Source organism: Homo sapiens, chromosome 9 (assembly GCF_000001405.40).
Source record: "Homo sapiens chromosome 9, GRCh38.p14 Primary Assembly".
Lineage (NCBI taxonomy): Eukaryota > Metazoa > Chordata > Mammalia > Primates > Hominidae > Homo > Homo sapiens.
The window spans coordinates 67,871,689-67,885,335 of NC_000009.12; the positions used below are offsets into that span (position 1 = coordinate 67,871,689).

General features: G+C 38.3%; 1 protein-coding gene across 1 annotated transcript in view; it reads left to right on the forward strand.

The window, feature by feature from the left end:
- The window catches only part of ANKRD20A1 (ankyrin repeat domain 20 family member A1), a 43,464-nt gene that overhangs the window by 12,758 nt on the left and 17,059 nt on the right, over window positions 1-13,647 (forward strand). The window contains exons 7-9 of the mRNA NM_032250.5: window positions 6,072-6,102; window positions 8,788-8,857; window positions 12,798-12,882. Coding sequence (NP_115626.2) covers window positions 6,072-6,102; window positions 8,788-8,857; window positions 12,798-12,882 — 186 coding nt within the window. The remainder of the gene's footprint in view (window positions 1-6,071; window positions 6,103-8,787; window positions 8,858-12,797; window positions 12,883-13,647) is intronic.

The following is a 13,647-nucleotide window of genomic DNA, read 5'->3' on the forward strand; positions in this document are numbered from 1 at the left end:
GGACTCTGATCCCTGTGCAGTTGAAAATCTGAGTATAACTTTTGATTCCTTCACCTTAGCTACTAATAGCCCACAATTGACTGGAAGCCTTCCTGATAACATAAACAGTTGATGAACACCTATTTTGTTTGTGCTGCATTATTATATACTGTGTTCGTACAATAAAATAAGCTAGAGAAATGAAGCTGTTAGAAAGGAAATCATCAGGAGAAACATATTGACTTTTCATAAAGCATAAGTAGTCCTGACAAAGGTCTTCATGATCTTCAGGTTGATTAGGCTGAGGAGGAAGAGGAGAGGTGGATCTTGCTGTCTCTCTGTTGCAGAGGCAGAAGAAAATCTGCATATAAGTGAATCCCTGCAGTTGAAACCCTTGCTGTTCAAGGGTGAACTGTATTACATATTGATTTGTGTCACTAAGAAAGTAACTATCTTTAGAACCAGGAACTCAGCAATCCCTTTCTGGTACCATAAGTAAATGGCAATAAGAACTGTAGAACTGAACCAGTGTGCACCCATACAAATAGGAGATTATTTTTTGAAGACAGCTACTGAGCACAGGAGACGGAAAAGCAATTCCTTTGTGAGAAGCACAAGTTATATTACATATTCGTACACAAGCAAAATGATTTTATCTGTCATAGTTTACATACATACACATACACACACGCACATGTGCACACACCTGTGCACACAGACACAAAGTTAAAAGTCCTGCTGATTCTTAATGACCAAATCCAACTGTTCACAGAGAGCGGTGGATAGCGCATCCTACTGTTTGGATGCAATTCTTTTGACTTTTTGACTTGTTTTGTGATGAACTGCCTTTAATGGGTTTAAATCATGTTTTCAGTTTTATGAGAAATGAAGAAAAAGATTAGAAGCAAGTAAACAGGAACTCTATGGTCAGTGGTAGACTATAATAGTATATTCAATAGTCATATGTTTTTCTCCAGTTATACAATTTACTTGAATGATGCACAATTAATCAATTATTATTATCATAGGAGATGGGGTCTCTCTATGTTGCCTAGGCTAGAATACAGTGTCTATTCATTGGTGCAATCATAGCTCACTGTAGCCTTGAACTCCTGGGCTCAAGCAGTCCTCCTACTTCATCCTCCTGAGTAGCTGGGACTACAGTTTTGTGTGGTTACATCTGGCCTGATACACAATTATTTATTTGTTTATTTATTTTTAATACAGGGTCTCCCTCTGTTGTCAGTACTGGTGTGCAGTGGTGCCATCTTGGCTCACTGCAACTTCTGCTTGCTGGCCTTAAATGATCCTTTCACCTTAGCCTCCCAAGTAGCTTGGACTACAGGCATGCACTACCACACTTGGCTAATTTTCTTTTTAAGGGATTTTTGTTTGTTTGTTTGTTTAATAGATGAGGTCTCACTATATTGCCGAGGCCGGTCTGGAACTTCCGGGCTCAAGTGATCCTCCTGCCTCAACCTCCCAAAATGCTCGGATTTACAAGTGTGAGCCACTGCACCTGGCCTTCAAAATTATTATAAAAAGGAATGAAGCCCAGTTGAGTTGCAGAAAATTGACCACTTTTTCATTTTTTTTCTAGAAACATTCATATTGTAGAACATATTGTCAATCACCCAGATTCTCTATTTTTTATTCAGATAAAAGAGGATTGCTGCTCATTTCACATTATTTTCTGACATTATTTTTTCATTTATTCCTTCTATGGCTTTATTCAATTGGATAGATATAGAAATACAAGAATCTCCAAGTCAAATATCAAGGCAAAAAAAGAAAAGAAAAACAGATTAGGTAAAGTTATTCTGTGAAATAACCATCTGATTACAGTTACACGTATCATATCAACTTAATACAAATCTTACACAATGAATTTGTGTCAAGGTTTCCCAAGACCACCCCAGGTTTGGTGGTTCATTAGAAGGACTCACAGGACTCAACAAATAGTCATACTCAGATCTTTAATTGATAACAAGGAAGGGGACAAGCAAAATTAGTAGAGGAAAAAGGTGCATGTGGTCAATTCTGGAGGAAACAAGGCACAAGCCTCCAGGAGTTCTGTCCTGTGGAGTTCCCGGGATCTGCTTAATTCTCCCAGGCTCACATTTTGACAACATATGTGCAGTGATGTCTACCAGTACCAGAGTTTCATTAGAGACTAAGTGCCCAAGTTTTTCTATGGAGGTTACTCTCCCTCACATGTACCCAAATTCCAGACTCTTACAAGGAAAGCAGCTGTTTAGAGTAAATACACTGTTTCTATAAGCACTTTAGACACAGTGAGCCACTCTTCTCAGGGAATGGTGGAAACCCTCCCATTTCCAATTTCCTAAACACCAGCCAAGGGCCAGCCTTGCATGCAGGCCTTTCTAAGGATGGCAGCCTCTTGCCTGCTATATGAAATCTTTTCTGCACAACACTTGTAACCCCAACTTAATTTTTGGTGTTGTTTTAAAATTTCATTTTAATAACATAATATTATAAGATAAGGTAACTTGGTACTAATTTCTGTTGTATGATCCATCTTAAGTTGCAGTGCTTGTTACTTTTTTGACTTTTGGTGATGAACAGCTATTTGTATATAAGTTACCATAGCAATGTTAGGTAATTATAATCTGTCCTATTTATCTCATTAACCTTTCAGTAAAATTGTTAAATTAAATAAGCAAAATAATTTCTGAGTTAACATTAGAATAAAAATTGTCTTTTATTTTGATTACATGAATAGTCTAGTTTTCATATTGTGCTAAATCCCTGTTTAGAATTATGAAATAAGATAAAATATTCAATTATTTTTATCAATATTTTCTTACCTAAGCATGCAATTAAATTTATTTATTTTATATATTTTATATAGTTCAATTTGAGAAGTAATGACCACATGTTGTTACTTTGGTCTTCAATGATCTCTAATTTTTAGGGTCACCGTGTCTTGCTTAAATATATCATAGTAACAGGTTCAGTGAATATCTTTATTTTTTATTTTATTTACTTATTTTTTTGAGACGGAGTTTTGCTCTTGTTGCCCAGGCTGCAGTACAATGACATAATCTTGGCTCATTGCAACCTCCACCTCCCAGTTTCAAATGATTCTCCTGCCTCAGCCTCCTAGGTACCTGGAACTACAGGCATGCACAATCATGCCTGGCTAATTTTTTGTATTTAGTAGAGATGGGGTTTCACCATGTTAGTCAGGCTGGTCTCGAACTCCTGACCTCAGGTGATCCACCTACCTCGGCCTCTCAAAGTGCTGGGATTACAGGCATGAGCCACTGCCCCCAGCCATTTATTTATTTATTTATTTATTTATTTATTTATTGTAATTGTTCTGGAGATCCTGGGATGCATAGACAGTGAATATCTTTTTGTTTTTTGAGATGGAGTCTCACTCTGTCTCCCAGGCTGCATTGCAGTGGTGCGATCTCAGTTAACTGCAACCTCCACCTTCTAGGCTCAAGCGATTCTCCTGCCTCAGCCTCCTGAGTAGCTGAAATTACAGGTGCCAGCCACCATGCCCAGCTAATTTTTGTATTTTTATTAGAGACGAGGTTTTGCCATGTTGGCCAGGCCGGTCTTGAACTCCTGACCTCAGGTGATCCACCCATCTTTGCCTCCCAAAGTGCTGAGATGACAGGCATGAGCCACTGAGCCCAGCTGAATATCTTTTTTTAAATCAATAACCTTATTTCTTAGAGCAGTTTTAGGTTCACAGCAAAATTGAGAGGAAGGTACAGAGATTTCTCATATATCCCATGCCTCCCACACATGCATAGCCTCCCCCATTATTACTATTTTCCACCAGAGAGTGGTACATTTGTTACAACTGATGAACTTACATTGACACATTATAATCATTCAAAGTTCATAGTTTACATCAGGCTTCACTCTTGATGCTGTACATTCTGTGAATTTGGACAAGTGTATAATGACATGACATGTATCTATTACTGTAATATTATCGACAGAACAGTTTCACAGCCCTAAAAACTCTCTGTGCTATGCCTGTTCATCTTTCCCTTTCTCCCTAGTAACTCGTGGCAACCATTGATGTTTACTCTGTCTTCATAGTTTTACTTTTTTCAGAAGAGTCACATAGTTGGAATAATACAGTGGATATCTTTTTGAATAGTTAAAAAATTAAAGCTCCATGGCAGTTGAATGTAGTCATTTAAGATGTTCTTTGTCCTTTTGTTTTTCTTTTGCTTCTTTATCATTGTAAAGAATGATATATTCTGATGACATATGCTTTACATACTTAGAAAACATGATTTGTATAGATATGTGGCACATAATAGAAAGGGTTGAGGAAAAGGACACCATGCTGTACCACACAGCACAAACTGGAGCATCTTGCTCTGTGAGGTGGGTCCAGATAGATTCTCTATCAATGGAAGGGGACAAGTGCAAGGGGTTGTACTTTATAAAACTGGAATCACAAAGTCTTTCATACTTACCTTCGGTTGGAAATAAGACCAGACAGTGAATGCTATAGGTAAGTACATAGGTTCCTCACTGATCCTCTTCCTTTGAGGGATGAGGTTGACAACAGCCTGTATTATGATGATGTGACTCACCTACAACTAGATTCTGTCATGAGGGATAGCAAGAGAGTTTTGCTTTCTGTGAGGTGAAAAAGAATTTTTTTCCCCTACTAGGGAGAAGGGCAAGCACTGGAACATTCTGGTAGTAAAAGGGCATTGATGGTTTTCTTTCTATATATTTTTCACATCATATAGTACTGTCCAGCAGCCTGCCACACCTCCCTGGTGTTTCTTCAGCTTCTCTCTGAATGTGAGGTGTGGTTCCTAGCGTATAAGCTCTTAAAGGAGTGATCTTTCCAGTGGTTTTTCTGTGGGAGGTAAAATGGCAGGTGAATTTGGGCCTTGCTATATGTAGGGCAGAGCAAATAGCTACAACTAAGTAAACCACCCAGCACCTTCCCCAAAGAGTAGTAGCCAGAGTAATACATTGATCTCTTTTGAGCTCTTTTCCACTAGCGGCTGGAAAGTCTTTGCAAGGATTCCTGTTTCTGGTCTGATTCCTATGTTTTGCTGACATCTGGTGTTAGGGTGTTTTATTCTAAACTGAGCAGTTTGAACTGAAGAGCTAGAGAGGCTGTGTTGTGTTATAACAAAATAAGTGCAGTAGCTCCCCCTTAACTGTGGGAGATACATTCCAAGACCCCCAAGTGGATGCATGAAACCATGAATAGTACTGAATCACAAACTGTTTTTCCCTATACATACATATCTATGCTAAAGTTTAATTTATAAATTAAATTGAATCTGATGTTACCAGCAGATAAGGTGTGAGAATTGAATTATGTCATCAGCAGGAATGATTGCTTGCTTGTTGGTGGGGAAAAACCCTCCACACATTTGGTCACAGAAGCCTTCTTTGTTGATGATTGTTGCTGTGGTGTGACAGCAGAGAAAAATGTGTCAAGTATGTCTTTCTGCACGTATAGTGGATAAGGGGTACTACTGTGTACTCTGTTTTAATGGCGCCTCATATTTTGGTCCAGAAATCATGCTCTTTGACACTGGTGACTCATCACACCTGTTCTGCTAACAATACCATTTTTACTCAACCTCATAGGGTTTGGCTAAGATGACTTGCATACTGCAGTTCACTTGTAGATACCAAATTTTAATAAATTTATTCTTCTTTGCATCTAATAAATACAAAGGGAAGAGTTCTTACTGCATTAATTACCTACCAATATGTATAACGAATGTTAATTCTAATAAGGTCCCAGGCATGCTCCCAAAGGAATGCTTTGTAACAAAGCATCAGTCTTATGCTTTAAAAAACCAAACCAAACCAAAACAAAAACAACAACAACAAAAAACAGGATCTAAAGCATACATACAAGTGTGCACAATTTTTTTATGAAGGTAGAGTCTTACTATGTTTCCCAAGCTGGTCTCAAACTTCTGGGCTCCTCAAGTGATCCTCCTGCCTCAGCCTCCCAAGTAGTTTGGATTAGAGGGATGCATCACTGTGCATTCTTATGCTTTTAATATTCTGTACATTTGTTATTGATTTAAAATGCATTTTACCTTTTTCTTTAATAGATGTTGGAAGTTCTGATGAATCTGCAGTCAGGTAGGATTTTATAGATTTAAAAAATTATGTTAACTAAGAAAATATAGATGGAAGAAATGAGTATCTGTTGAGTGTTGTATTCTGGGCTAGACATCCTAATATGTTCTATGCATTTATCATCTCATAAAGCCATCACAACATCTGTGTTCCTGTAACCTACTGTTTATTAAATAAACAACTATGGATTAGAGCTGATTAATTGCCTCATGATCCCATAGTTAACAAAGTAGCTGGCCTACAGTTTGACCATCAGCCTGCCTGCCTTCCAAATCCTGTCTCTTGCTCCTCAGCATAGATTGACAGATATCTGTGCAGCCCTTGGATCAAGGTATAGGTCTGAATCAGATTAGTCAGATTGATTAATTTGATTAATGTCTAAATTAATGAGAGTTTAAATACCTTGAACTCTCATTTAAGTTTATCATTAGAATGTGGTTAGTCCAAGAGTTTGTCCTAATAAATTTGACAATTTCAGTGGTAACCAGTATCTTATTTTTACCATCAAAGGCTCTAGGGCAGATCTTACTTAGCTTTGCCATAGGGGTGTAAGTTTTACAAAAGCAAGTTTAGGCAAGTCTTAGAGACAAATTATTTGACTTCCCAGTTTGGTTTTCCATTTAGGCAAGTATTTCTGCTTACTTCCATAATACATTTTTTAGTCTTGTTGCTTTTTCCGTGACTTTTCTATAATCTTGCCTTCATTTTTTAAAACTTTCTTCTCTGCTTTTCTTGGTATTTCTTTTGTTCTATTATTTTTTCAAACTCTGCTGGCTATGTATTCTAAGTTTTTCTATAGACAGAATCAAGAGGACATAGAATTACAGAATTTTAAGGAATCTTGGAATGAATTAAAATACCTTCTAGTATTTTTACCTGTGTTGAACATTCTGGTCAAATGATTCTCTAGATAGAGAATGTGAGGCTCAAAGAGTTTAGGATGCTTTTTTTTAGACATAGGAATTGGCAGAAATGAGATTTGAACTCATGTTAAAGCCCAGTACTCTTGCTTCTTTTTATATCCTATTGGCGTGTGTTTTAATAATACAAACAGGAGTGAGTCTGTGGGTAGAATGAGAATGGAATTAGCTGGGGAACCCAATGGAAGTAGATAAGAATGGAATGAGCAGGGAAGTCCAAGTTTGAAGATAAACAACACTGGATTGGATAGGAGTACAGACTCTTCTATAAGAGATCAAAATATTGGGGTTTATGACAAGTTTGATAAAGATAAATTATAAAAATGAAGGACACAAGATGTTGGGAATTATCTACGAAGGCACATTAAAATAGAAGGTTCAAGGGAGCTCTAAAAAGTTTGCTGCTTTTTTTTAAATCAAGGACTGACAAACTTGAAGATTTTTACTGAAAGATGCTAAAACATTTTGAGACACTGGGAGGAGCGTCTGCAGCAGATAGAAATGTGGTGTCATCTACTTCCATCCTGACTTAGAAAGGGGTGGCTTAGAGCCCCTGGAGTACTAAGGGGCTGGAGATTGCTGAACTACATAGATCTGTGGCCCAGTACAGGTGTCTCCTCACCTCTGCCTCTTTTCCCGATTCACTGATGTCCTTCCCATGTCCATGTGGGCTGGGTCAGGGGCATGATTGGCTGGCAAATCAGTCATGGAGTTCAGTTGGGTAGTTGGTAGTGTGTCTAGCTGGGGACAGGTGATGGAGACTCCAGTTAGCTTGTTTTTCAGGAGCAGGGATATAGAGAGCTCCTAGTCCTGGTCATTTGAGGCCATCCTTTCAGGAATCTGTGCTTTCATAGACAGAAGATTTAAAGATTGGAGACTTCTGTGGAGCCCTGCAGAAGTGGAATCTGGAAGTGGGAGCCCATAGGAAGACAGATACTTAGAGAGTACTTAGGGAAATAGAGGTACACCTACCAGGACTCTGTTTTTTTCTGACAGTCTCTCTCCTTGGGTGTCTGAGTGCCTATGAAAAGTTTTAAGGGCTTGCTAGTTTATGTGGACCTGAATAAGGTAGGACCTATAGGGTGAAAATAATGGGATTTTATAATTGTTAATATTTCAATCTTTCTGGGAAAAGTATTCTCAATAAGAACATACACCTTTGTTATTTGACTTCTGTACATTTAGCTTTCATACATTTCAAATATTGTAGGGGCTTTCCTGTACTGATTTAGGGCAAAGGAAAGCAATAGGACCTTCCTAAGTGGGTTCCATGCTGAGGAATCAAGACTGCCATATTGAAGTGATGCAGATTAGTCTTTTATCCAGAGACAGATCATGGAAAAGAGACAGTGGATCTTTCTACCTTGTTTTAGGTTATTAATTTTCTTCCAGTTTAGGTAACAAAATTTATGTCATCCATTAATTGAATTTTAAGTTCAGCTTCAGGACAGATAATTTGTGAGGGCAAATCATTGTCAGGCTCTGCCAATTTATTGACTGTCACTATTTGTTATAAAGCTCAAGGTTAGTTTTCATTGAATATTTTATAGATTTAGACAAGTGGAGGCAGAAATAGGTAACTAAAATCTATTTTTAGAAGAGGACATATTTTAATTATATCAAGAATCACTATTTAATATATAGATTGCTGACCTTTCCCTAGATTATGGTTTCCTTTTTTGAGGGGGAAGCTGGATATAAACTGGCAGTTAAAAAAATTGTAAAGAAATCAACTTGCTCATTTTCGTTGTGTGTTTTTGCTCTCAAGCATTTTCCATGAACTGCGTGTGGATTCATTGCCTGCATCGGATGACAAAGACTTGAATGTTGCTACTAAGGTAAAGTGGTCTCTTGTAAAATTAATTTTCTCACTCTGAATGTACTTTTGCATAGTATTTACTTTTCAAATTTAGCAGTGGTTTACCTATCATTGTTTTATGGTGGTAATGGAAAGTTGGTCAGAGAAAAACATACATATGGCTAGTTGATTCAAAAAATGTGTTTAACTTTGGTAACTAACAAAGATTGATAAGTACTGTGACAGGGTGGGAGCTGAAAAAAAATGAACTGGAAAATTAGTAGTGACAGGAAAATCACATTAGGAAATGCTTTCTCCAATAGAGGAAATATGAAATTTGCTTAAGGTTTATTTGGATAAATACTAATACTTTGACTTTTAAATCATACGAGTGTGACTTTCTTAATATTTATGCCTGTATAAATCTTCAGTGGATCAAATTATTTGCAGTAATCATGGGATCCTCCTGGTGATTTTTAGTGGCAAGAATATTCAGCACATAGCATATAGCTTTTGTTCTTGGAAACTTATTATTTTGGTATCATATTGTTTTTACGAGAGATTGTTTTTCTACTTATATTATTGGTTCTGTAGTGAGACAAAAAAATTAATAATTGTAGAAAAATAACTGAGTGTGGTGGTGTACACCTGTAGTCCCTGCTACTTGGGAATTTGAGGCAGGAAGATTGCTTGAACCCAGGAGTTTGAGAACAGCCTGGGCAACATCGTATCTGATTTAAAAATATAAATTGTGGAAATATAGAAATTTAAATTTATGTTCTCAAAATGTGTATTGCAAAGGAATTTTTGTGTGGTTTATGAGTTGTCCATGAAGAGTTTATATAAGGCACTTCATCTAATTGAATAACATGTATTTTGCTGCAAATAACCAGTTCTAGAAGCAGAGACTCTTAATACCAATGGATGGTAAGACTTTATCATCATAATTTTGTCATTGTAGTTTATTTAAAATATTTACTTCACCAGGCGTGGAGACTCACCTGTAATCCCAGCAGTTTTGGAGGCCGAGGTCGGTAGATCACCTGAGGTCAGGAGTTCAAGATCAGCCTGGCCAACGTGGTGAAACCCTGTCTCTAAAAAAAACCAAAACCAAAACAAAACAAAACAAAAGCAGAAAAATTAACCAGGCGTGATGGTGCATGCCTGTAACCCCAGCTGCTCAGGAGGCCAAGGTGGGAGAATCGCTTGAACCCGGGAGGCGGAGGTTGCAGTGAGCCAAGATCGCACCATTGCACTCCAGCCTGGGTGACAGAGCAAGACTACATCTTAAAAAATAAAATAACCACTCAAAGTCCTCATATCATATTCTGAAATTTTGAATTTCAGAAGGTTTTCTATTTAGTTGTTTAAATAATCATTGGAAGCTCCTGCATACCGTAAGCTACTGGAGGTCAGTAAACATATTTGTGTGTATCCTGGAGTACCTAGAATACAGTCTTCCATGTAAGAAGCATTTTACTTGTTGTTTTTTGAGATGGGGTTTCACTCTGTCCCCCAGGCTGGAGGGCACTGGTGAGATCTTGGCTCACTCCAATCTCCATTTCCTGGGCTCAGGTGATCCTCACACCTCAGCCATCCAAGTAGTTTAAACAATAGAGCTATGTCACCATAGACCTGTGTCACCATGCTCAGCTGAGTTTTGTAGAGACAGGGTTTTGCCTTGTTGCCCAGGCTGGTCTTTAACTGTTGGGCTCAAGTGTTCTGCCTGCCTCAGCCTCTCAAAGTGCTGGGTTACAGGCATAAGATATTCAGCCTTAATAATGTTTAATCTGAATAAATAGACAAATGAATTTTTATATAATGGAATGTTATAAGTAATATAATAAACCTAATGTAGCTAATAATTAAATATTGTATTTAAAATATTGCTTACATTGTATTTTTTAATATTTAAGGGTGTATAAGTTTTGATATGTTATGTTGAGAAATTATGCCATAATTAAAAAGGAAATAAAATAGAAATAGGTCATCAGTAGCAAATAGGGTTACAATATATTTTCTAGTATCATTCAACTGGAATCTTAACATTGAGATTTTAGATTAACATTTCTTAAGCTTTTTATTAGCTCCAACTCATGTTTTATTAAATATACTTTTTCAAGCCATACATTACTCTTTATTATTCTTATACTGTAAGTTCTAGGGTACATGTGCACAATATGTGGGTTTGTTACATGTGTATACACGTGCCATGTTGGTGTGCTGCACCCATTAACTCATCATTTACATTAGGTATATCTCCTAATGCTATCCCTCCCCCCTTGTCCGCCCCACGACAGGCCCCAGTGTGTGATGTTCCCCATCCTGTGTCCAGGTGTTCTCATTGTTCAATTTCCGCCTATGAGTGAGAACATGCAGTGTTTGGTTTTTTGTCCTTGCGATAGTTTGCTCAGAACGATGGTTTCCAGCTTCATCCATGTCCCTACAAAGGACATGAACTCATCCTTTTTTATGGCTGCATAGTATTCCATGGTGTATATGTGCCACATTGTCTTAATCCAGTCTGTCATTGATGGACATTTGGGTTGGTTCCAAGTCTTTGCTATTGTAAATAGTGCCGCAGTAAACATACGTGTGCATGTGTCTTTATAGCAGCATGATTTATAATCCTTTGGGTATATACCCAGTAATGGGATGGCTGGGTCAAATGGTATTTCTAGTTCTAGATCCTTGAGGAATCACCATACTGTCTTCCTCAAAGGATGAACTAGTTTACAGTCCCACCAACAGTGTAAAAGTACTCCTATTTCTCCACATCCTCTCCAGCACCTGTGGGTTCCTGACTTTTTAATGATCGTCATTGTAACTGGTGTGAGATGGTATCTCATTGTGGTTTTGATTTGCATTTCTCTGATGGCCAGTGATGATGAGCATTTTTTCATGTGTCTGCCATACGTTACTCTTTAGAATTCTGGTGACCAATTTTTTTCTGGGTGGAAAGTTGATTGAAAGTTCTAGTTTTCTCTCTGTGTTATAATAATGTTCTTTCAGGTAGTGGTCGATGACCATATTTAGCTAATTGAATGTCTTATAGTAATAAACTGTATCACAGAAGTACTTACAAAAAACTAATTGTAGCATAAATATTAATTAGTATTATCAGGGATATGAAAGAGCAAAAGGCTCTGTTATAGATCTATTTCCCCATGTACTTTATTGTACTTCATGTTGTTTCTTTTCTTTCTTGGCTTAAGCTCATATTTCATTGACCAATTAGGCTTGTTTTTTGTTTGTATCTCTCTTCATTCTCATATTTTAAATTGAAATTTTTGGGGAGTCAGGGTCTTGCTCTGTTGCCCATGCTGCAGTGTAGTGGCATGATCTTGGCTCACTGCAGTATCCACCTCTCAGGCTCAAGTGATCCTCCCACATCAGCTTCCCAAGCAGCTGGGACTACAGGCGCACACCATCATGCCTGACTCCTTTTGGTATTTTTTGAGTAGAGATGTGTTCTCATTATGTTGCCCAGGCTGGTCTCAAACTCCTGAACTCAAGCAATCCACCCACCTTGGCCTTGCAAAGGGCTGAGATTACAGGTGTGAGCCACCATGCCTGGGCAACATTGAGATTGATTTAAAGAAATTGATTAGGGCTGGGTGTGGTGGTGCACACTGCTTATCTCAACACTTTGAGAGGCAGAAGTGGAAGATTTACTTGAGCCCAGGAGTTTGAGACCAGCCTGGGCAGTATAATGAGGCCTTGTCTCTGCAAAGATAACAATAAAAACATTAGCATGGCATGATGGGACGCACCTGTAGTTCCAGCTATTCAGGAAGTTGAGGTGGGAAGATTGCTTGAGGTCAGGAGTTTGAGACAACAGTGAGCCATAATCAGGCCCCTGCATTCTAGCCCTGGGTTGACAGAGTGAGACCCAGTTTCATAAAAAGAGATTGATAAGAAACTCTTGATGCAACTCATTATAATTTTAAAATGGAAACTAATTCTTGATATTACCTTAGCAGTGTGTCCCCGAGAAAGTGTCAGAGCCTTTACCTGGATCTTCGCATGAAAAAGGAAACAGAATAGTCAATGGACAAGGAGAAGGTGAGAACCGTATTTTATTTAAAAAGTCATCTGATGGAGGCCGGGTGCGGTGGCTCACGCCTGTAATCCCAGCACTTTGGGAGGCCGAGGCGGGCGGATCACAAGGTCAGGAGATCCAGACCATCCTGGATAACATGGTGAAACCCCATCTCTACTAAAAATACAAAAAACTAGCCAGGTGTTGTTGTGGGCGCCTGTAGTCCCAGCTACTCAGGAGGCTGAGGCAGGAGAATGGCTTGAACCCGGGAGGCGGGGCTTGCAGTGAGCGGAGATACCACCACTGCATTCCACCCTGGGCGACAGAGCGAGACTCCGTCTCAGAAAAAACAAAACAAAAAAAGTCATTTGATGGAATGTTTCTTTGAAAATATGAGCACTAATAGAGTGTAATAGCTAAAGAAGGTGTCCTATTAACTGTATAATAAGTAAAGAAGTGAAATGGTGATAAGTTGTGTCTCTAACCAAGGGTCAGCAGTTGATTCTATTGGGAGTACCACTAAAGGAGCTGAGTTGTGAGTTCCATTTTAAGATACTCTAAGACCTGAGGCAAGTCAGGAGAGAGGGAAGAGGAAATGAATAAAGAGAAAGAAAGAATGAGGAGAGCGGAGTGTACATGGAATAAATAAAAAAGCATATGCAGAGGCAAGTAAGAGAGGATAGTAAAGGCAAATTGATCTGTAGAAGAAGGAAGAACATGGTGTTAGAAACAGGAAAGAAGATAAAGTGAGCTTCCAGTACCAAAATGTGTCAGAGAATTACAGTAAC